This window comes from Homo sapiens, chromosome 6 (genome assembly GCF_000001405.40).
Source record: "Homo sapiens chromosome 6, GRCh38.p14 Primary Assembly".
NCBI classification, from domain to species: Eukaryota; Metazoa; Chordata; class Mammalia; order Primates; family Hominidae; genus Homo; species Homo sapiens.
The window spans coordinates 33,204,441-33,228,821 of NC_000006.12; the positions used below are offsets into that span (position 1 = coordinate 33,204,441).

At 49.5% G+C, this 24,381-nt stretch overlaps 2 protein-coding genes, 1 non-coding gene and 1 pseudogene across 3 annotated transcripts, besides 2 other annotated features; all 4 read left to right on the top strand.

The window, feature by feature from the left end:
* Positions 45–927: an enhancer, noted in NCBI's record as "H3K27ac-H3K4me1 hESC enhancer chr6:33172262-33173144 (GRCh37/hg19 assembly coordinates)". NCBI's record gives its function as "activates a minimal SCP1, AML or CMV promoter by ChIP-STARR-seq in naive H9 embryonic stem cells {active_cell/tissue: H9 hESC(naive)}" and the evidence as "EXISTENCE:reporter gene assay evidence [ECO:0000049][PMID:30033119]".
* HSD17B8 (hydroxysteroid 17-beta dehydrogenase 8) lies at positions 215–2,391 on the top strand. The gene is made up of 9 exons (NM_014234.5): positions 215–280; positions 462–679; positions 781–897; positions 1,007–1,099; positions 1,200–1,285; positions 1,388–1,472; positions 1,694–1,736; positions 1,935–2,009; positions 2,198–2,391. The coding sequence occupies exons 1-9, from the start codon at positions 229–231 to the stop codon at positions 2,212–2,214; spliced, it is 786 nt and encodes a 261-aa protein (NP_055049.1). The 5' UTR covers positions 215–228; the 3' UTR covers positions 2,215–2,391.
* Positions 928–1,808: an enhancer, noted in NCBI's record as "H3K27ac-H3K4me1 hESC enhancer chr6:33173145-33174025 (GRCh37/hg19 assembly coordinates)". NCBI's record gives its function as "activates a minimal SCP1, AML or CMV promoter by ChIP-STARR-seq in naive H9 embryonic stem cells {active_cell/tissue: H9 hESC(naive)}" and the evidence as "EXISTENCE:reporter gene assay evidence [ECO:0000049][PMID:30033119]".
* A 1,003-nt stretch (positions 2,392–3,394) lies between the features above and the next one.
* Positions 3,395–3,504, top strand: MIR219A1 (microRNA 219a-1). The gene has a single exon (NR_029633.1). It is a non-coding gene; the product is annotated as a microRNA 219a-1 (primary transcript).
* Positions 3,505–4,059: 555 nt separating this feature from the next.
* RING1 (ring finger protein 1) lies at positions 4,060–8,276 on the top strand. Its single transcript, NM_002931.4, has 7 exons — positions 4,060–4,204; positions 4,325–4,460; positions 5,186–5,346; positions 5,475–5,690; positions 6,718–7,107; positions 7,289–7,562; positions 7,858–8,276. The coding sequence occupies exons 2-7, from the start codon at positions 4,383–4,385 to the stop codon at positions 7,957–7,959; spliced, it is 1,221 nt and encodes a 406-aa protein (NP_002922.2). The 5' UTR covers positions 4,060–4,204; positions 4,325–4,382; the 3' UTR covers positions 7,960–8,276.
* Positions 11,134–11,743, top strand: ZNF70P1 (zinc finger protein 70 pseudogene 1; annotated as a pseudogene).

Consider the following 24,381-nt stretch of genomic DNA (forward strand, 5'->3'; position numbering starts at 1 on the left):
GCAGTCTTTGTCTTTTTGGGGGGAATGGGGCCCCTTGTCTTCTCCACACCCGGGGCCCCTAAGCAGCAGTGTCGGGCCACGCCCCCTCGGTGGGAGGTCGGCCTGCGCTGGTGGCCGCAGATGGCCTAAGGCTGGCGGGCCTTTGATTGGCCCCGGCTTTGCCCTTGCCACGCCCCTCTGCGCTGGGATTGGCTTAGTGCTGGGATTCCCACCCACCCACAGCCCGCCATGGCGTCTCAGCTCCAGAACCGACTCCGCTCCGCACTGGCCTTGGTCACAGGTTGAGGGGGTTCTTTCCCCGGGCGGTTTGGGGTATTGGAGTGAGGTCAGGGGCGTGCCCTTGGAGTGCGCGGCCGCTGTGACCTCTGGCCCCTTACCCACATTTTACTTTCTGCCCTGTGACCTCTGATCCCTGCCCTCTCCTCCCCGTGCCCGGTCCGGCGTGTTCTGTCCTACCTCAGGTGCGGGGAGCGGCATCGGCCGAGCGGTCAGTGTACGCCTGGCCGGAGAGGGGGCCACCGTAGCTGCCTGCGACCTGGACCGGGCAGCGGCACAGGAGACGGTGCGGCTGCTGGGCGGGCCAGGGAGCAAGGAGGGGCCGCCCCGAGGGAACCATGCTGCCTTCCAGGCTGACGTGTCTGAGGCCAGGGCCGCCAGGTGCCTGCTGGAACAAGTGCAGGTGAACGCTAGGCCACTTTCCCCCTCTAAAGCTCTGATATTGCCTCCACTGCCCCGGCTTTTTGTGGGGGGTTTTTGATGCGTAACCTCCCCCTCCCATAGGCCTGCTTTTCTCGCCCACCATCTGTCGTTGTGTCCTGTGCGGGCATCACCCAGGATGAGTTTCTGCTGCACATGTCTGAGGATGACTGGGACAAAGTCATAGCTGTCAACCTCAAGGTGGCGATCTCTGAACCTGCGACGTTTGGCCCCCTTAGCCTGGGGAGGGAGTTGGAGGAGGGCTGTCACCCCAGCTGATCTTTTCTCCCTTGTTACCCTTTCCCGCCAGGGCACCTTCCTAGTCACTCAGGCTGCAGCACAAGCCCTGGTGTCCAATGGTTGTCGTGGTTCCATCATCAACATCAGTAGCATCGTAGGAAAGGTCAGGTTGAGTTGGACGAGGTCAGCCAGCCAAGTGGTATAGAGAGGAGAACCCCTCCTTGAGACTCCTGACTCATTCCACATCTCTGACTCACCTATAGGTGGGGAACGTGGGGCAGACAAACTATGCAGCATCCAAGGCTGGAGTGATTGGGCTGACCCAGACCGCAGCCCGGGAGCTTGGACGGTTGGTCAGATGCTTGAGGGTGCTGGGGAGCACCTGGGGGGTCTGAGGGAGGTACCAGCATTCAGCCCTCTCCAGAATCGGCAGCCACTCTCCTTCCCACAGACATGGGATCCGCTGTAACTCTGTCCTCCCAGGGTTCATTGCAACACCCATGACACAGAAAGTGCCACAGAAAGTGGTGGACAAGGTAGGAGGCTGTGGGTGGAGGGCAGAATCATTCAGAGACTCAATCTCTCTGGGCTTCACAGAGAGAGAGAGAGAGAGAGAGAGAGAATACTGGGCACAGTTCCTGGCAAACATTAAATATTCAATGAATGTATGAGAAATGAAGACAAAAAAGGGTCACAGACTCAGTCTTCAAAAAAATCCATAAAAGAAGCTTTCACCCACATGAGTATTTCCTTACAGATTACTGAAATGATCCCGATGGGACACTTGGGGGACCCTGAGGGTGAGCACTGAATGTAGTGGGGTCCCTGGGAAGGGGGCCTGAATGAAGAGATCCCCAAAGTTTGGGGATTTTCTAGGGGACTGGTGGTTGGTGTCTGTGGAGAGGTTTGTGGGGAGGGATGTCTTTGGTGGGAGATTATGGCTGTTTTGGGTCTATGGGAGTGAGCAGAATTCTGCCCTCTCCCCACCATTCTCATAGATGTGGCAGATGTGGTCGCATTCTTGGCATCTGAAGATAGTGGATACATCACAGGGACCTCAGTGGAAGTCACTGGTATGAGGCCAGCATGGGGAGGGAGAGGGCAGAGAAGTAGAACCCAGACTATATGAGAAAGCAAGTAAGGGGAGTCTGGAGCCACTGGGAAGGGCAGAGGTTCCCAAGGCCAGGGACAGAAGTGGGTACCCCCTAGCCCATTTGTGTCTCCACCCATGCATCTGTCCAAATGTTTCTGCCCCTCCCAGGAGGTCTTTTCATGTAACTGCCTCAAGGACCCTGGACTCTGCTCACCCCCCCACCACTCTGCCTGGCCTCCTGCTGATGAGGACTCTAAGTTCCCAGGATACAAAAGGGGTGGCAGTGTATGGTTCAGGAATGCTGAATATGGGAAGCAGGGGTGCTTGTGACCCTAATAAATTCCAAGTCCTCTTCCCTGCCACCTCCGGCTCTTCTTGTGTCCAAGCCCTCAGACCCTTCCCCACCTCCCCCTCCTTTCCCTTTCCCGAAGGATTGTTCCCTTTCTCTGCCTGGTCTCCCAGGGCAACCCCCGCCGCCGGGTGTGAGAGGAAAGAGTATGTGTCACTGTGTATGCGTGACACTCCGGGTCTTTTTGAAGGGAGGGGTTCGTGCGTCACCCCTTTCCACTGGTTCTGCAGCACCAGTCCCCTCCCCCCAACTCCCTGGGTTCTTATGGTCCCCAAGGGTGATTTGTTCATGGCCCCATCTTGGTGTCCAGTCTGGCCTTGAAAGGGGGTCTTGGAACAGGTGGCCCTCCCCCACCCCTCTCCTTTCTCTGAGTCCCCCCCTCCCCTTTCTCTCCACCTTACAATAGCTGCAGCCGGCCTGGGGTCGGATGGGGGGGATTAGGGGAGGGGGCCAGGATTAGGGGAATGAACCAGCCGATGAAAGGGGCTGGAGAGAGCAGGAGGGAGGGGGCTGGGAAGAGGAGGAGGAAGGGGAGGGGGGTCTGCGCTAATCGACTCTGGCGCCCACATAAGGACTGGCCACGGACTGAAGGAGAGGACAGGGAAGTAGGGGGGAACTGGGGTGGGGGGCGAGGGCACCCACTGCTGCCTTGTCCCAGGGACAGGCCACCCCCTGGCAGCCGCAGCCCAAGTCCGGGAGCCTCAGCTCGGGCGGGGACAAGATGCCCATCAGGGTCTCTAACTGCCCCCCACCCCCTCGCCCTGTATCCCTCTCATTCCCTACACTCAATGGGGATCGCTCTGCCCCTTCCTCTTCTCTTTCCTCCCCATCCCCTTCGTTTACTCTAGAGTCCTCGAAGAGGCTTCTGCCCACTTCCCACTCCAGACATTCTGCCCCTGTGTACCCCACCCACACGCGCACCCCCCCTTCCCAATGGGAGCTCCATCTTGTGTATGTCCCTGTTTCCGCGTGGTGTCTCCATTCCCCCTTTCCTCCCGTGCGCCTCCCTCCCTTCCCCGCCCCGGGCCGCGGCTCCTGATTGTCCAAACGCAATTCTCGAGTCTATGGCTCCGGCCGAGAGTTGAGTCTGGACGTCCCGAGCCGCCGCCCCCAAACCTCGAGCGGGAGAGCGGGTCGGAGGGTCTAGGGAGAGCCAAAGCAGAGGGTGGAGGGAGTCCCCAGGGTGGTAAGGGGAATCCCGGGCACATCGGGACCTAGGTGTGTTCTCAGGACTAGAAGGCTAAAGCGGCAGATCTTTTGCAGCCTTTTCCCCCGGGATCCTGGAATGGGGGTTACGGAGAAGTGAGGGGGGTTGATCCCCAGAGTCGCCAGGGTACGCAGAGTGGGGGAGGTAGCCCTTTTCACGAGCCCTCTGTCCCCTCCTGGGGTCCCAGATATTCCAGGCCCCGGCCCCCCGGAGCTGAGGCCCCGCGTGGGGGCCTCTGGAAGGGAACCGAGGCTAAGGTTGTTGGCCGCGCGACGGTGCTGGGCCGGGGGCGGAGACCGTGGTTCCCTAAGTGGCGCAGAACTCCCGGGACGCAGGATCCTCACGCGGGACGAGCCCGTCCCGTGGGCGGGAGAACCGCGGCGTCCACGTCCCGTCCCACCCGCGCCGCGAATGGTGGGTGACGTCTCCGCCGGCGGGGGGAGCGGGTGTAGCGGAGGAGCAGGCGGAAGTGACGTAGGGCCCCAGCGCCCGGGCCATGGCGGCGGCGGTGGCGGGAGCTGCTGTCTGAGCAGCGGTTGCGGACCGAGCGAACTTGGCCCAGGAGCCCGGGCCTAGGGAGAGGCGCGGCGGCGGCGGGAGCGCGAACGGCTGGAGCTGGGTGAGGGGCAGTGCCGGCGCGGGGGCGGGAGCGGGGGCGGAGAGGGGCGCTTCTGGAGGGGCGGGGTCTACGCGAGGGGCGGCCCCCCTGACGCCCTCCTCCCCTTCCCCCCACCCCCAGCCTTCTTCGCCTTCTCCTCGGCTGTGGAGCCCTGGTGGGGGGTCTGCGCCCGGTCACCATGACGACGCCGGCGAATGCCCAGAATGCCAGCAAAACGTGGGAACTGAGTCTGTATGAGCTGCACCGGACCCCGCAGGTGACAGGCATTCTCCCTTTCAGGCTTACCCCCTCCCCCAAACCCTTATATCCACAGACCGCATCACACAGCTTCTTTTCCGTAATTTGCTCTATTCTGCCTTGCCTGGCCCTACCTTTGAATCACCTTAATCTTTCCAAAGCACTTTCGCATTTAGCTCATTTAATCCTCAAAACAGCCCTGCCAGAGAGGTGGAACAAGTATTATTATCTTCATTTGAAAGATCACAAACACAAAAATTACCTTCCCTGTTCCTCATTCAGTGTCATAAGTCAGTGCACATAAGACTCACTTTGGGAGTTTATTAAAAGCAGAGCTTCATGCCCCCCAACATTCTGATTCAGTAGTGAATTGGGTTCTCAGAATCTGAATTTTTAACAGGCACCCTATGGGGTTCTAATACAGGTAGCACCAGGACTTTAAAAAATTTTGTTGAATAGTTTTTCCCAACCACAGATTTGTGCCATCTTCACTCCTAGGCCACTTAGCCACCTCAGATCCTCCTATTCCAAAGCTCCTACTCTTAGTTAATGGACACTAAAGTCTGTCTTTTCTCCATTTGCTCCAAGTCATCAGTCCTTCTCTTTCTCAGAATTCTTGTCTCCTATAGAGACCAACATGGGTCTTCTCACTGTATTTCTCAAAATTCTTATTTTATGGGCTGCTGTTTCTAAAACCCCTTTCCCTCTAACCCACACCACCTTTCTACTCACTGATGCCTTCAGGAAGCCATAATGGATGGCACAGAGATTGCTGTTTCCCCTCGGTCACTGCATTCAGAACTCATGTGCCCTATCTGCCTGGACATGCTGAAGAATACGATGACCACCAAGGAGTGCCTCCACAGATTCTGCTCTGACTGCATTGTCACAGCCCTACGGAGCGGGTAATAGGAGAGACATGTTTGAGATGAGATGAAGGGGTACAAAGTTAGGGCCCTCTCACTGGTCTTGGTTCAGCCTAGGCTTCAGTTCCCTTGACTGACCACTCAGGGCTTCCCTTCTCCTACCCCAGGAACAAGGAGTGTCCTACCTGCCGAAAGAAGCTGGTGTCCAAGCGATCCCTACGGCCAGACCCCAACTTTGATGCCCTGATCTCTAAGATCTATCCTAGCCGGGAGGAATACGAGGCCCATCAAGACCGAGTGCTTATCCGCCTGAGCCGCCTGCACAACCAGCAGGCATTGAGCTCCAGCATTGAGGAGGGGCTACGCATGCAGGCCATGCACAGGTGTGAGGGTCAGGAGAGAAGCAGAACTGATGGGATGGGTCCGTGGGTCAGTCCTTGTTGCCTGCTAGCTTCTAAGCCTCAGCATCCTAGGAGCTGACCACAGACTGATCATTAGGGCTGGAAATCATGGGTGTAAATTGCAGTTTCTTAGTAAACAACTGGCCCTGCTCTTCTTAAGAAAAATATAGGGCTGGGCACAGTGACTCACATCTGTAATCCCAGCACTTTGGGAGGTGAGGATGGGAGGATCACTTGAGCCCAGGAGTTTGAGACCACCTTGAATAACATAGGGAAATCTCATCTCTACAACAAATTAAACATTTAGCTGGGCATGGTGGCACATGCCTGTAGTCCTACCTTCTTGGGAGGCTGAGGTAATAGGATCACTTGAGCCTGGGAAGAAAGTGGATGTTGCAGTGAACCATGATCACACCACTGCACACTGCACTCCAGCCTGCTGGGCGACAGAACAAGGCCCTGTCACAAAAAAAAAAAAAGGAAAAATGTAGTTTACCCCATGACTTTCTAGAAGTTAGAACAGTAGAGCGATTTTGAGAATAAGCCCCGGATTCATACTGCTGGAAGTTAAATCACCTCCTAGGCCAGCATCTCTCAGTCTTTCATGTGTATCCAGATTACCTGTAGATCTTCAGATGCAAACTGTGATTCAGTAGGTCTAGAGTTGGGCCCGAGAGTCTGCATTTCACAAGCTCACAGGGGATGTGTATGCTGCTACCGCACTTTGAGAGGTGACAGCCTATGATCACTAACAAGTTACTTAACCTCTCTAAGCCTCAGTTTCCTCAGCCATAAAATAGAGGTAATATAATTACCTGTGTCATAGGATTCATTGTATTAGGTAAGGGGATTGGTGCAAAACACTTAGTATACTGAGTGCTTAGCACATTGTGTTTAATAAATATTAGGTATCGTCATTAGGATTTTTCTTATCTCTTAATTCTCTGAAGTTTAAAGTCTAAGCCCTTTATCCTGGATGCCTTCTAACCTTAACCACTTGCTTCTACAGGGCCCAGCGTGTGAGGCGGCCGATACCAGGGTCAGATCAGACCACAACGATGAGTGGGGGGGAAGGAGAGCCCGGGGAGGGAGAAGGGGATGGAGAAGATGTGAGCTCAGACTCCGCCCCTGACTCTGCCCCAGGCCCTGCTCCCAAGCGACCCCGTGGAGGGGGCGCAGGGGGGAGCAGTGTAGGGACAGGGGGAGGCGGCACTGGTGGGGTGGGTGGGGGTGCCGGTTCGGAAGACTCTGGTGACCGGGGAGGGACTCTGGGAGGGGGAACGCTGGGCCCCCCAAGCCCTCCTGGGGCCCCCAGCCCCCCAGAGCCAGGTGGAGAAATTGAGCTCGTGTTCCGGCCCCACCCCCTGCTCGTGGAGAAGGGAGAATACTGCCAGACGAGGTGAGGAGCCCTGTCTTTCCCCAGCCACTGAGAAACCAAAGATCACCTAGATTTCCATCAGAAGTGGGCTTTGCCCAAACCCAAAATACCACCCCAACCCAGAATCCATTTTGGAAAGCCCCTACCTCCAGTCCTCATCTGAGGCGCTCTGGCTCTAAGCCTGTCCTCCCTCCCATTCCAGGTATGTGAAGACAACTGGGAATGCCACAGTGGACCACCTCTCCAAGTACTTGGCCCTGCGCATTGCCCTCGAGCGGAGGCAACAGCAGGAAGCAGGGGAGCCAGGAGGGCCTGGAGGGGGCGCCTCTGACACCGGAGGACCTGATGGGTGTGGCGGGGAGGGTGGGGGTGCCGGAGGAGGTGACGGTCCTGAGGAGCCTGCTTTGCCCAGCCTGGAGGGCGTCAGTGAAAAGCAGTACACCATCTACATCGCACCTGGAGGCGGGGCGTTCACGGTGAGAGCTTCTGAGGGCAGTGGTAGAAGAGGGGAGAGGAGGGAGGGTGGTCTGGGCCACATAGAACCATGAGCCTGGTCTAACTCATCAGCACTCTTCCCCTATACATCCTCTATCTCTTTCTATGTCCCCTCTCCTTTCCCATCATCCATGTCCTTTTTTGCCTTATCGCTTTTATTATTCCTTTTTTCTTTCCTCCTCCCTTGGTCACCTTTTGCCTCTCATTCATTTCCTTTTCCATCTTCTCCAACTTTCCTCTCTCTTTTCCCCTCTCTCCCTTTTACCCCCTCCTCAGACGTTGAATGGCTCGCTGACCCTGGAGCTGGTGAATGAGAAATTCTGGAAGGTGTCCCGGCCACTGGAGCTGTGCTATGCTCCCACCAAGGATCCAAAGTGACCCCACCAGGGGACAGCCAGAGGAAGGGGACCATGGGGTATCCCTGTGTCCTGGTCTATCACCCCAGCTTCTTTGTCCCCCAGTACCCCCAGCCCAGCCAGCCAATAAGAGGACACAAATGAGGACACGTGGCTTTTATACAAAGTATCTATATGAGATTCTTCTATATTGTACAGAGTGGGGCAAAACACGCCCCCATCTGCTGCCTTTTCTATTGCCCTGCAACGTCCCATCTATACGAGGTGTTGGAGAAGGTGAAGAACCCTCCCATTCACGCCCGCCTACCAACAACAAACGTGCTTTTTTCCTCTTTGAAACCTGCAGTTCTGTGTGTCTGTTTATCAGGGGTGTACAAGAAAAAGAAAGGAAAATAGATTGGGGAGGGAGGCCTAGAAATAATGTAAAATCAGCCTTGGAAATGGGGAGAAAATGTCGGGTTATTCGAGATATGTCGTCGGAAACTCCAAATTAGCAAATATGTATGAAAATAGGAACCATCTATGAAGCTGGAAGAGAGGATAAAAAACAGAGGTGCCAAGTTAGACCCCAAACTTTCCCCCCTAAAACCTGAGTCGCCCAGGCTGAAATCCAGGGTTTCAACACCAAAGGGAAAGCAGGAAAATGGCTCAAAAGAGAAAGGGATGTGTGTAGATGTGGGAATGACCGTGATGTTTGGAAGTCACTGCGAGCAGCCGGTTTCTATAGCTGGAAAGAGGGAGGGAGGTGGAGAGGACTGCGGAGAAGCTCCCTGTTCGACATCCCAGTCCCCGGGCCACCTCCCAAAAAAGGGCAGGCTGGGCTGCAGACTCGGAGTGTGAGTGCACAGCCTTTGCCCGCCGGGCAGCGGGGCTGAGCGGAGGGAGGGTCGCCTGGGAACACTAGTTCTGTGCTCGTCCAGGCAGCGGCTGAGAGCAGAGGAGTGGGGGCATCAAGGAAAGCCGCGGCTGCCTTACTGGCCTCGAGTTCCGCGAGCGGGGCTGGGCACCAAGCCTGAGGCTGGGGGGACAGGGGCGCACGACTGCACTCCCGGTCCGGGGCAGTGCAGGTATTCGGGGAAGAGGAATCGCCTCTCCAGAACCGACTGCTGTTCCTTCCACCACCCGTAACCTCTCTGCCCCTCACTTCCTGTTTCCTCTGCTCTGGGTACCCCCAGCCCCTCTGGCCCCAAATTCCTCCCCCATGCTCAGTTCTCTGTCTCACTGGCAGAGGAGCCGGCCGTGTTTCCCCCTAAAGCCCGCTTGGCCCTCCCAGTTCCGCAGCTGCGCGGCCCGCCCGCCGATCCCATGGCTCCCTTCTCCACCCTTGGGATTTCTCGTTTGTTCGCCTCCTCTCCGGTACCCTCAATCCCGTAGATGCAGGTGGGCATCCTCCAGCCCCAGCAAGTACTGCGGACCAGTTGGGCTGGCTGGCCCCTTTCCTGCAGAAGCAGACAACACCCACTTCTACCCTCGTAGGAGCCCCTTTCTACACTCACTTCCCTGGAACCCGTGATCCTGACTCCCCTCCTCCCGGACCCCAAGCATCCAGGACGTGTACGGTATAAGGGGAAGTTGTAGTGGGAGGCAGGTGGGCGTTGTTCCTGGAGTTTCAGGGTAGAGAAGCAGGTGGGGAGGAGTTGGGTGAGATACAGAGGTGGAAGCCAAAAGTCTGGAGTTAACCTGACTTCTCTTCTGGCTCCAGGGGCTGCCGGGATCGTCTGTCCTCACCCTCCTTGTCCTCCCCAGCCCTAACCACCCGGCAGCCTCTTCTCTGTCTCTGCTGCCCGTCCTGCCTTCACTCTGAAACAGCCTGCCCCCTCCCGGGTCCCCAGTCCTCACCTTTGCCCCACACGCCCCCCTCTCTATTTATCACATTTCCTTTCGTGTCCCCCTAACCCCATCGCTTGGTGCGAGTGCTCTCTTGCCCTCCTCTCCCCATGACTGAACCTCACAGACATGGCTGTTTATTTAGGTGACACCATGTGGGAGACACAGAGGAACCCATTTCCATCCTGGCTCCACTGGGGCATTTCCTTTCCAAGTCCTTCAGTCCCTCCCAACCAAGCCTATGTTACTGGGTCAGGCAAGGTGAGAGATATAAAGTATGCAAAAGAAAACGTTACTATTTTGTTGAGGAACAAGATACATGTGGAATAGTTGACAATGCAGAGGAACAGGGTAGAGGAAGGAGGGTTGATACAGTATTAGAGTCAGACAAACGTGGGTTCAAATCGGCTCTGCCACTTACAAACTGAGCCACCTTGCACAAGGCACTGGGTCTTCCCTCTGTTTCTTCACCTGCAAAATGGGGGAGAGTAACAGGTTGCCCTGAGAATTGAGAGATAATACAAGTAAAGTTACACGCCTAACAGATCAGTGGCTCTCCCAGTGTGGATCCCAGACTAGCAGCATCAGCATCGCCTGGGAACTTGTTAGAAATGCAAATTCTTGGGCCCCACCCCAGATCTGCTGTTTAAGAAACTGGAGATGGGGCCAGCAATTGCATTTTCCCAAGCCCCCAAGTGCTTCTGATGTTCACACAAGGCTGAGGACACTGAAGAAGATGCCCCACAAAATGTTACGGCCTTGCCTTATACTATAAAGAATGGCAAAGGGCCCGTGTAGGGGTGCTCTGTGACTCCCAAGCAGGAGGATCACTGCAGGCCAGTAGGGAGGTGAGGAGCGGCCTCACAGAGGAGGTGGGACTGGGCTGGGGAAGGAAACAGAGAAGCCTTTCTGCAGTGGGTGAGGGAGATGGGGGGAAGCTCCCTCTCCCTTACCCTACCTACCACCCAGCACGATTTTACCTCTCAGGCTTCTCAGTCTCCAAAGCAGAGCAGACCATGTATCTGAACGCGGAAGCTGAGCTCTGGAGCCCAGAGCCTCAGGGCCCTGAGGGAAGGTTCCCCCAGGAGACCCCTGCCCAGGCAAGGCCTAACTCTGAGGGCCCTGTCCTTGCCTGGCAGCCCTCAACACCCTGGGAAGCTGCTCACAGGAGGCTGTGCTCTGGGCTTCTCCACCTTCACAGTCCACCTCAGCGAGGAGGGAGGTGCCGCTGAAACCGCCAACCACTTCTTCAGTTGGGTGTGGGGCTTAGCCTCTCCTCTCCCACCTCTGTCTCCTCTGCTTCCTCCTCCCCCATGCTGCTCTCACCTCTCTCCCCTCTCCCTGCAGGCTGGGAGCAAAGGGAGAGGAGGAGGAGAAGAGAGGACAGACCCAGCCCTCTACCTACTATGGCACTCCTTTACCTGCCAGCTGTCACAACCAACCCTTCCCCAACTCCCCTACCCGGGACCCCCATCTCCACCCACAAATCCACTCAAATTTCCTGCCTGGAATGTGGAGTCTCTTCCCACTGCTCTCACCTCTCTCAGCACAGCCTGGGCAAGGGGCCCTTCTCCTCCCCCTAATATAGGAAGTACTTCAGCCAAGGGGCCCACCTGACCCTGTGCGAACACTTTCACACAGGTGATAGGCCCTACTCCTGCAGAAAGTGTGGCCACAGCTCTTGCCACAGCTCACACCTGGCCCAGCACTGCGGCACACACCTGCCTGAACCCAATCACTGCCACCAGTGTGGCAAGGGCCTCTCCCCAAGGCTCCAGCCCGTTGCAGCCTGCCACTCTACACACAGGCAAGCAGCCTTACGTCTGTGCCACCTAAGCCTTCTTGTGGTAGATGAGGGTGCTGGCCCCCACTCCAACCTGCAACACCAGCAGCAGAACCATACCTGGGGGCGTCCCCATCACAGTGACCAGTGAGGCAAGGGCTATGGACATTGCTCAGGGCTGGTGCAGCACCAGCAAGTCTGCAGAAGCAAAGGCTGCAGGCATGGTTTCTGATACAGCCCCAGGCTGGTGCAGCATCACCAGGGCCACATCAGGGACAGGCTCTACTGCTTGCCTCTGTGGCTGTGGTTTCACTTGGAACACCCACCTGCCATGACACCAGGCCTCATATGTGGAGAGGAATGAGATGAACACAGTGGGGAGGCAGGGAATCAGAGCCCCTGTGGCTGCATCACCGCCCCCAATCTGCAGCGCTCTATGAGGGTGGCAGGGCAGCCTCAGAGACAGACTTCCTCCACCTGTGGGAGGCATAACAGAGCAGAGATCCACCCACTCCCAGCCAGGGTGACCTTCAGAGCAACCATAAGGGGTAGCTCGAGTGTCTCGCCTGAACCCACTCAAAGCTGGAATGGCCAGGTCCACTTCACTCTAGACCAAAGTGCCAAGTCCTAAGGGAGCTCCCAAGCCAGGAACTTTTCTCTGGAGAAGAATCCATACTTCTCAGGGTCTTAAAAAATTTTGTTTTTTATATAAATAAGAGGTCCTGGGGCACTTTTCCATCTCCTGTCCTCCATCGGAGAAATTTCACTAGGCTGTCTCAGACGTGCTGTTGTCGTGGATGGATTAGACTCCTTGGGACTTTCTTGAAGGGTCATTTTAAAGTGATAGCTTAGGCTGGGCATGATGGCTCATGGCTGTAATTCCAACACTGTGGGAAGCCAAGGTAGGTGGATTACTTGAGGCCAGGAGTTCAAGACCAGCCTGACCAAACCTGGCAAAACCCTGGCTATACAAAAAACACAAAAATTAGCAAGGCGTGGTGGCCCATGCCTGTAATCCCAGCTACTCAGGAGGTTAAGGCATGAGAATCACTTGAACCTGGGAGGCGGAGTTTGCAGTGGCCGAGATCACGCCACTGCACTCCAGCCTGGGCGACAGAGTGAACCTCTATCTCAAAACAGAACAAACAAAGAAAAAAATGCCCTTAAGAGTTCTTTTATAAAAATAAAAACAGAAAAAAAATAGATAACTTAATTTCCAGAGATCTCCAGGACAACCCCCTACCATCAAATCCTAGTCCCCCAACTAATCCCACCCAACCCCCAGAGGCTACTGGGTTCTTCCTGCCTCAGGTGTTCACACTACACCCGGCGCCCCTATTTGATGAGCCATCTTCCTGTGCCTACTCCTTGCTTCACCAGGTCCTGTTCTTACGAGTTTACTGTTACTCTTCATGTTATAGGGTAAGTGAGACCTTATTCTTGTATTAACTTGCCCCAGAGTATACTCTTTGGAACTCGGCAATATTTCTCCCTATGATGTACCAAGGAGGTTGATTACTGACACATGCTAGAAGAAATTAAATACGCTTAGTGGTCAAAGGATTACTTGAGAGACTGCTAATCATTTCCACCCTTTCGGGAAATGTGTATTGAGTCTACCATGTGTCAGGAGTTGTTCTGGGACCTGGGTATCATAGTCATGTGGCATAGCCCCTGCCTTCGAAGGATTTGATGTAGGGGCGGTTTAGAATGAGCATCTCAATATTGAATCCAGCACCTAGTCCTATCCATTTTATCTGCTCTAATATATCTCAAGTCTGTCCACTCGTTTTCATCCCTCCACATCCCTGGGCTAGCCACCATGTGGACCATGTGGCCTTCTCTGAGTCATTGCAGTAGCTGAAGAGGCTGGGAATGGCCTTCTCTACAGTATGACACACACCTAAGAGGGATCCTTTAAAAATGCAAATCTGATTGTTTCAGTCAGCCTCCTTAAACCTATTCAGTGGTTTTCCATTGATCTTAGGTTAAAGACCCAAGTCCTTAACCTGACCTCTAAGGCCCTGCAAGGGGTGGCCCCTCCTCTCCAGCCTCATCTCCCACCACACCCCCTCACTCGTGTGCTCCAGTTGCTGTCCACCTTGTGCTTCCTCCTGCACAGAGTCTCCAGGGAGGCTGGACCCTCTGTGGAACGGCTCCTTCCTCTGTTCCTCTCCTCTTAGCTCCTCTTCATTCTTCAGGCCTCACCTTCTCAATAGCCTCAGGGAAGCCTTCCTGACCTTCTTTTCAGGGTCAAATTCTCCTGTTATGAGCGCTCACACTAAGGTGTACCTTTCCTCAGAGGCACTTGGCCCTGTTGGAGTTCTACATTTGTTGATGATTATGTACAGACTGATGTCTGTCTGCCCCATTGAATGTAAGCTCCCTGAGGGCAGGGACTATGACTGCAGATGCTCACTCTTGCCACTCCCTGGACCTAACACTGGATACTTTATAAATAGTGGTTGAATAGATGCATTCATGGCAGGATCTGGGCAGGAGGCTAGATATTTCAGGATTTCAGAGGTGATGAATTAAGGCCATGATTCTCCCTCCTGTAGCTGCAGCCCAAGAATCCCATGTGCTATTACCTAACACTGTTACTTCCTCCTTAATTCCTGGCATCATTCAGGTCCACAGCCCTGCCTTCATCCCAGGCTTCCTCCATCTTGCCTGTGAGACCCTCTCCCTCTTTAACTTTTTAGTTCCCCTTTCTGGTTTTGCCTCATTGACTTCAGAAGCCAGCATGGAATAATGTCGCAAGACCCAGGATCCAGAACTGGAGGCCAGGTGCAGTGGCTCACTGCTAAAATCCCAGAATTTTGGGAGGCCAAGGCAAGAGGATTGCTTGAGCTCAGAAGTTCAAGACCAGCCTGGGCAACATAGTGAGACTTCGTCTCTACAAAATATTTTTTCAACTTTTATTTTAAGTTCCGGAGTACAAGTGCAGGATGTGCAGGTTTGTTACATAGGTGAACATGTGCTATGATGGTTTGCTGCACCTGTCAACCCATCACCTAGGTATTAAACCCGGTATCCATTAGCTATTCTTCCTGATGCTCTCCCTCCTGCCACTTCCCCTTCTGACAGACTTCAGTGGGTTATTGTTCCCCCCACCCACATGTGTCCAGGTGTTTTCATCGTTCAGCTCCCACTTATAAGTGAGAACATGTGGTGTTTGGTTTTCTGTTCCTGTGTTAGTTTGCTGAAGATAGTGGCTTCCAGTTCCATCCACATCCCTGTAAAGGACATGATCTCATTCCCTTTTATGGCTGCATAGTATTCCATGGTGTACGCATACTACATTTTCTTTTTTCTTTTTTTTAAGGTGGTGTCTTGCTCTGTCACCCAGGCTGGAGAGCAGTGGCACAATCTCGGCTCACTGCAACCTCTGCCTCCTGGGTTCAAGCGATTCTTCTGCCTCAGCCTCCCAAGTAGCTGGGACTATAGGCGAGTGCCACCACACCCTGTTAATTTTTGTATTTTTAGTAGAGACAGGATTTCACCATGTTGGCCAGGCTGGTCGTGAACTTCTGACCTTGTGATCTGCCCACCTCGGCCTCCCAAAGTTCTGGGATTACAGGTATGAGCCATCGTGCCCGGCATTTTTTTTTTTTTTTTTTTTTTTTTGAGATAGAGTCTCACTCTGTCACCCAGGCTGGAGCGCATTGGCACAATCTCAGCTCACTGCAACCTCTGCCTCCCGGGTTCAAGAAATTCTCCTGCCTCAGCCTCCTGAGTAGCTAGGATTACAGGCATTTGCCACCACACCTGGCTAATTTTTTTGTATTTTTAGTAGAGACAGGGTTTCACTATGTCGGTCAGGCTGGTCTCGAACTCCTGATCCACCTGCCTCAGGCTTCCTAAGTGCTGGGATTACAAGTGTGAGCCACCACGCCTGGCTGCATACTACATTTTCTTTATCTAGTCTTTCATTGATAGGCATTTGGGTTGACGCCATGTCTTTGCTATTGTGAATAGTGCTGTAGTGAACTACAAAATATTTAAAAATTAGCCAGGTGTGGTGGCTTGTGCCTGTAGTCCCAGCTACTTGGGAGGCTAAGGTGGTAAGGTTCGTTGAACCTGGGAGTTTGAGGCTGTAGTGCTCTATGATTGAGGCTGTGAATAACCACTGTATAGTGAGAACCTGTCTATTTCTTTTTTAATCTTTTTAATCTAGCTAACTAGGAATAGAAAGTAACTTCCAAAGTCAAGACAAGGATACCAGTTTTTACTGTTTCTATTCACCTTTCTGCCAAGAAGTCTGAAGTGACACAAGAAGAAAAAGAAGAAATAAAGCCATCACTATACATAGACAATTACTATACATAGATTGCTTACTATACAAAGAAAATTCACAAGAACCTACCAACTATTAGAAATAACAATTTCCTTGCCGGGGGCAAGGAGAATACACAAACATCAATATCCTTACACCACAGCAATAAACAGATAAAAGATTTCATTTTAGGCCAGGCATCGTGGCTCACGCCTGTAATCCCAGCTCTTCCGGAGGCCAAGGCAGGCGGATCATGAGGTCAGCAGATCGAGACCGTCCTGGCTAATACAGTGAAACCCCGTCTCTACTAAAAATACAAAAAATTAGCTGGGCGAGTTGGCAGGCACCTGTAGTCCCAGCAACTGGGGAGGTTGAGGAAGGAGAATGGCGTGAACTCAGTAGGCGGAGCTTGCAGTGAGCCGAGATTGCGCCACTGCACTCCAGCCTGGGCGACAGAGCGAGACTCCGTCTCAAAAAAAAAAAAAAAGAAAAGAAAATACCATTTGTCATAACAAAAATCATAAGATACTTAGGAATAAATATAACAAAGTCTGTGTATGATATTTATGGAGAAAATTATAAAGTTTTATTAGAGAACATAAAGAAGATATAAAAGAATAGGAAGAGATCCCCTACTCACAAAGACGGAAGTTTGATATAAAGCTGATAATTTTTCTCAAATCTAAAAATTCAGTACAATTCTAAGCAAAACTCCAATCAGATATTTTATGGAACTTGACAGACTGTTCTTAAAATTCTTTTTTTTTTTGAGACGGAGTCTCACTCTGTTACCGAGGCTGGAATGCAATGGCGCGATCTCGGCTCACTGCAAGCTCCACCTCCCAGGTTCAAGTGATTCTCCTGGCTCAGCCTCCTGAGTAGCTGGGACTACAGGTGCGCACCACCACGCCCGGCTAATTTTTTTGTATTTTTAGTACAGACGGGGTTTCACCATGTTGGTCAGGCTGGTCTTGAATTCCTGACCTCGTGATCTGCCCGCCTCGGCCTCCTCAAGTGCTGGGATTATAGGCATGAGCCACCACACCCGGCCTTAAAATTCTTATGGAAGAGTAAATGGCCAAGAAAAAACAAAACTTGAAGCAGAAGAATATGAGATCCCTTGCCTAACCATATGTCACAAGTTTACTGGTTGAAACTTAGAGTGATTAAAACAGTCTAGTCCTGGTATATGCACACATAAATAGACCACAGTACAGAACAAAACTTTTTTGAATCAGATCCTAATAGGGTTTGGATCTGTGTCCCTCCCTCTCCAAATCTCATGTCGAATTGTAATCCCCTTTGTTGGAGATGGGGTCTGGTGGGAGGTGATTGGATCATGGAAATGGATTTCCCACTGGGTGCAGTTCTCATGATAGTAAGTTATCATGAGACCCGGTTGTTTAAAAGTGTGTGGAGGCCAGGTGCAGTGGCTCTTGCCTATAATCCCAGCACTTTGGGAGGCTGAGGCAGGAGGATCACTTGAGCTCAGGAGGTCAAGACCAGCCTGGACAACATGCTGAGACATCATCTCTACAAAAATACAAAAATAGTAGCCGAGCATGGTGATGCATGCCTGTGGTCCCAGCTACTCAGGAGGCTGAGGTGGGAGGATCGCTTGAGCCCAGAGGGTGGAGGTTACAGTGAACTGAGATTGTGCCACTGCATTCCAGCCTGGGTAACAGAGCAAGACTCTGTCTCAAAAAAAAAAAAAAAAAGCGTGTGGCACCTCTTCCCTCTCTTCCTCCTGCTCCAGCCACGTAAGACATGCCTGCTTCCCTTTCACCTTCCACCATGATTGTAAGTTTCCTGAGGCCTCCCCAGCCATGCTTCCTATACAGCCTGTGGAACTATGAGCCAATTAAACTTTATAAATTACCTGATTTCAGGTATTTATCTATAGCAGTGCAAGAATGGACTAATACAGACCCTCAAAGATATGAGACTTGGCTATAATGGAAGTGACATAAATCAGTGGGAAAGTTCAATGGTTTTGAGTTAACTGGCTATCCAAACAAACACACAAAAAATAAATTCTACATTACATCCTACCCAGAAGTAAATTTCAGGTAGCTAGAGTAAAAAGCAAAACTGAAAACTATTCAAAGAAAATATAAGATCACATATTGATGATATCAGAATAGAGAAGGATTTCTTATACAAAATTTTAAAAGTACAAAAGTACAAGCAGTTAACAAAATGAAGAACACTATATGATTATATCAATAGATGGGGGAAAGGCGTTTGACAAAATTTAACATCCTTTCATGATACAAATTCTTAGCAAATTAGGTATAGAAAAAGTGTATCTCAACACAATAAAGCCCATATATGACAAACCCACAGCTAACATCATACATAATCATGAAAAGTTAAAAGATTTTCCTCTAAGATCAGGAACAAGACAAGGATAACCATTCTCACCATTTCTATTCAATATAGTACTAGAAGTTCTAGTCAGAACAGATAGGCAAGAGAAAGAAATACAAGACATCCAAATTGGTCAATGTTGACCAGGTTGGCCTCGAACTCATAGCCTCGCCTCCCTGTGCACCAGGACAGCTGGCTTGAGCCACTGATGCTCCCTAGGCATCCAAATTGGAAAGAAAGAAGTTAAATTGTCACTTTGTAGATGACATGATCTTATATAGAGAAATCCCTAAAGATACCACCAAAAAAACTATTAGAACTAATAAATTCAGTAAAGTTGCAGGATACAAAATCAATATTCAAAAGTCAGTAGCATTACTGTATACTAATAATGCACCAACCAAAAAAGAAATCAAGAAAGCAATCACATTTATAATAGCATCAAAAATATATACTTAGGAATAAATTTAATCAAAGAGGTGAGAAATCTGTACACTGAAAACCATAAAGCATTGAAGAAAGAAATTAAAGACACAAATAAATGGAAAGATATTCCATGTTAATGGATTGGAAAGATTAATATTGTTAAAATGTCCACACTACCCCAAACTGTAGATTCCATCCAACCTCTATCAAAATTCCAATGACATTTTCACAGAAATAGAAAAAAAATCCTAAGATTCATATGGAACCACAAAAGACAAGGACCAAAATGGCCAAAGCAATCTTGAACAAAAGGAACAAAGCTAGAGCCATCACACTACCTAATTTCAGAAGCTGCCACAAAGCTATAGTAATAAAAACAGCATGGTTCTGGAACAAAAACAGACATATAAGACCAGAATAGAGGCCAAAAATAAATCCACACATTTTATGGCCAACTGATCCTTTACAAATATGCCAAGAACATACAATGGGGAAAGGACAGTCTCCTCAATAAACAGTCCTGGGGAAACTGGATATCCACATGTAGAAGAATAAAATTTGACCATATCTCACCTCATATACAAAAATCAACTCAGGCCAGGCATAGTGGCTCACATCTGTAATCCCAGCACTTTGGGAGGCTAAGGCCAATGGGTTACTTGAGGCCAGGAGTTCGAAACCAGCCTGGCCAACATGGTGAAACCTACCAAAAACACAAAAATTAGCCAGGGGTGGTGGCACACACCTATAGTCCCAGCTACTCAGGAGGCTAAGGCACAAGAATTACTTGAATCTGGGAGGCAGAGGTTGCCAAGACCACACCACTGCACTCCAGCCTGAAGAACAGAGAGAGACTGCCTCCAAAAAAAAAAAAAAAAAAAAAAACTACTCAAAATGAATTAAAGACTTAAACATAAGATCTGAAATGGCGGGGTGCGGTGGCTTACACCTATAATCCCAGCACTTTGGGAGGCCAAGGCAGGTGGATCATAAGATCAAGAGATTGAGACCATCCTGGCCAACATGGTGAAGCCCCATCTCTACTAAAAATACAAAAATCAGCTGGGTGTGGTGGTGCACACCTGTAGTCCCAGCCACTCAGGAGGCTGAGGCAGGAGAATTGCTTTTCTCCTATATTTTCTTCTAGTATTTTTACAATTTCAGATCTTTTTTTTGAGATGGAGTCTCGCTCTGTTGCTGGGCTGGAGTGCAGTGGCATGATCTTGGCTTCTTGACATTGGTCTGGGCAATAATTTTTTTGGACAAATGAGATTGCATCAAATGAAAGCTTCTGAACAGCAAAGGAAACAATCAACAGACAACCTACGGAAAGGGACAAAATATTTGTAAACTATACATCTGATAAGGGGTGAATATTTTTATAAGAAACTTAATAGCAAGAGTTGTTGAAAACCAAAAATCTGATTTTTTTTCTTTAAGTTGGGGTCTCACCCTGTTGCTCAGGCTGGAATACAGTGCCGCAATAATAACTCACTGCAGCCTTCAACTCCCAGGCTCAAGCAATCCTCCCACCTCAGCTTCCCAAGTAGCTGGGACCACAGGCACACCCCACCGTGCCCTGCTAATTTTTAAAATTTTTTTGTAGAGACAGGGTTTCCCTATGTTGCCCAGATTTATCTTGAACTCCTAGGCTCAAGTGATCCTCCTGCCTTGGCCTCCCAAAGTGCTGGAATTACAAACATAAGCCACTGCATCCAGCCAAAAATCTGATTTTACAATGGGCAAATGATCTGAAAAAACATTTCTCAAAAGAAGACACATAAATGGCCAACAGGTATATGAAAAACAAATGCTCAATATTGCTAATTATCAAGGAAATGAACATTTAAACCACAGTGAGATATCACCTCATACCTGCTAAGATGGCTCTGATAAAAAAAATAAAAATAAACCAAGAGATTACAAGTGGTGGCAAGGATGTGGAGAAAAAGGAACCCTCACAAACTGTTGGTAGGAATGTAAATTTGTACACCTATTTTGGAAAACAGAATGGAGCTTCCTCAAAAAATTAAAACTACCATGTGATCCAGTAGTTCCATTATCAGGTATATTTCGAAAGAAATGAACTCAGTATGTTGAAGAGATATCTGTATTCCCAAGTTCACTGCACCATTATTCACAATAGCCAAGACATGGAAACAACCTAAGTGTCCATCAATGAATAAATAGAGAGATTATGGAACATATACACAATGGAATACTATTCAGTCTTTAAAAAGAAGGAAATTCTGTCATCTGTGACAACATGGATAAAACTAGAGGATATTATGCTAAATGAAATAAACCAGGCACAGAAAGACAAATACCATGATTTCATTTACATGTGGAACCTAAAGAGTCAAACTCAGCCAGGCATGGTGGCACGTGCCTGTAGTCCCAACTACTCGGGAGGCTGAGGCAGGAGGATCTCTTGAATCCAAGAGTTTGAGGCTGCAGTGAGCTGTGATCAGACCTCTGGACTCCAACCCAGACAACAGAGTGAGACCCTGTCTCAAAATAAATTTAAAAAAATAAATAAATAAAATAAAATTGCAGAAGCAGAGAATAGAATGGTGGCTGCACAGGGGCTAGGGGGCGGGGGGCGGGTGTGGGCAGGGATTGGAGAGCTTTAGTCAAAGGATACAAAATTTCAGTTAGGTAGAATAAATTCAGGAGATCTATTGTATAACATGATGACTAGAGTTAATAACAATGTATTGTATACTTGAAAATTGCTGGCCAGCTGCAGTGGCTTATGTCTGTAAACCCAGCACTTTGGGAGGCTGAGGTGGGTGGATCGCTTGAGACCAGTTCGACACCAGCTTGGGCAACATGGTGAGACCCCATCTCTAAAAAAAATAGAAAAATTAGCTGGGCGCAGTGGCTCATGCCTGTAATCCTAGCATTTCGGGATGCCGATTGCTTGATTGCTTGACCCCAAGAATTCAAGACTAGCCTAGGTAACATAGTGAGACCCTGTCTCTACAAAAAATTGAAAAAATTAGCAGGATGTGGTGGCACGTGCCAGTAGTCCCAGCTACTTGGGAGGCTGAGAAGAGAAAATCACTTGAGCCTGGGAGGTCCAGGCTGCAGTGAGCTATAATCTTGCCACTGCACTCTAGCCTGGGCGACAGAGCAAGATCCTGTCTCAAAAAAAAAATAAAAATAAAAATAATTGCTAGGAGAGTACATTTCAAATATCACGTTTAAAATGATAGTATGTGAGATAACAGATACAGTAATTACTCTAGCCATTACACACACACACACACACACACATATATATACACACATCATGTTGTTACACCATAGATACAATTTTTATTTGTCGACTATAAATAAATGCACAAGCAATAAAGGAAAATATTGATACATATGACCACGTTAAAACATTTTTAAGCTTTTATAAGAAATCACATAGGCCGGGCGCGATGGCTCAAGCCTGTAATCCCAGCACTTTGGGAGGCCAAGGCGGGTGGATCACAAGGTCAGGAGATTGAGACCATCCTGGCCAACATGGTGAAACCCCGTCTCTACCAAAAATACAAAAAAATTAGCTGGACGTGGTAGTGGGTGCCTGTAGTCCCAGCTACTCGGGAGGCTTAGGTAGGAGAATGGCGTGAACCCATGAGGCGGAGCTTGCAGCGAGCCGAGATTGTGCCACTGCACTCCAGCCTGGGCGACAGAGCAGGATTCCGTCTCAAAAAAAAAAAAAAAAGAAATCACGTAAAGTAAAAGACAAGCCACAGACTTAGAGAATATTCACAATCTACATAAACAACAAAGGATTATATCCAGGATTCATAAAGAAGTTGCAGATCCATATGAAAAGGACAACGCAAGAGAATATGAGCAAAAGCTGTGAATAGGTGAGTCACAAAAGAGAAACCTAATGGTCAATAAACATAAGAAAAGATGCTCAATTTAACCAGTAATGTAGAAATGCAAATCACAGCGCGAGTTACCATTTTACACCCACAAAATCACCAAAATTAAAATTATTCTAACACTGTTGACAAAAATGTGGGACAATAGGAATGCATATATTTTGTGTTGAAGTGTAAACAGATACAACAAATTTGAAGAGAATTTTGGCACCAGTTAATGCTGAAAATGAATATTCCCTATGACCCAGCAATCTTGCTTCTAGATCTATTCCTTAGAAAAACATTTCTACACATGCACAAAAAGGCGAGGATAAAAATGGTCATTGCAGTATCAGTTAATTGTCAAGAAGAAGTGGAAATAAGCTAACTGTTGTTAAGTAAAATGGATAAATAAAGTATGGTTTGTTCTTATAATGGGATACTATACAGCAGTTAAATGAATTATAGACATATTTAGCAATGTAATGAGTAAGAAACTTGCAAAAATGGATGTTGTATGATATTATTTGTGTGAGTTTTAAAATACACAAAACAGTGGTATATGTTTAGGAAAGCAAACATTTTTTAAAAGTGCAAAGTACGCATGGGAATAATTCCCAACAACTTTAGAATGATAATTACTACAAGGAAGGAGAGAAATGGGATGGGCGTTAACCGAATTTGTAATCCATTTTTTTTATTTTTAATTTTAAAGAAAAGTGATACAAAGCAGGCGATGCAAAGGTGAGGATTTGCTTAACTGGGTTGCTGTGATCATGAAATGAGCCAATCAATGGGACAGTGCTGAATGAAAGTTGTTGCCAGTCTCTTTAGAAGGGTACAATGATGGTGGCTGTGCAGGTGGAGAGATGTGATTTCCTGACCTATTCTCTCCTCCACCCTGTGTTGAGTCTCACGCCTCCTATTGGACGGTATAAATTGGTATAAATCTTTTTTTTTTTTTTTTTTTTGAGACAGAGTCTCACTGTCACTCAGGCTGGAGCGCAGTGGCATGATCTCAGCTCACTGCAACCTCCGCCTCCCAGATTAAAGCGATTCTCCTGCCTCAGCCTCCTGAATAGCTGGGATCACAGGCAGCCGCCACCATGTCCAGCTAATTTTTGTATTTTTAGTAGAGACGGGGTTTCACCATGTTGGTCAGGCTGGTCTCAAACTCCTGACCTCGTGATCCGCCCGCTTTGGCCTCCCAAAGTGCTGGGAACAGGCATGAGTGACCACGCCCGGCTGATATAAATCTTAACAGCTACATGCCCCAATTTCCTCACCTACAAAATGTGTGTATTCAAAGTGCTACCTAATAGCATTGTCGTGAGAGTAAATAAGTTGTGTGAAGTGCTTTAGAACACTTACCTGGCTTAGAGTAACTGCTCTAGGCTACTGTTTTTGTTGTTGATGCTGTTATTATGGTTGTTGTTAGGTATCACCTCCAGCTGCATATAAACTCTTTTTTAATCTCAACTTCTAAAAATCTCATAAGAACCTTACTTGGCAACGAAAGTGCCCCAAAACTGAGAAGACCCAGACTCTTCCTTCAATGATCTAGATCAATTTGCACCTCAAATTCCTGTAAGGGCCAGGCAAGTAATGTGCCAAGTGCCAAGGGAAGGCTATAACAGGCTGGAGGGCACCCTCCCCTCCTAGAGGGGCAGCAGCTCCTGGTCCAGCGTTGCCGCATAGGAATTCAGAGCTGGCACTGCCGTGATAAATTGAAAATCTCAATTTTTCTGTAAAATCACTCTTTTTATTTTTCCTTTTTTTTTTTGGCAGGATCTCACGTTGTCACCCAGGCTGGAGTACAGTGCCATGATCCCAGTTCACTGCAGCTTTGACCTCCCAGGTCCAAGTGATCCTCCCATCTCAGCCTCCCAAATA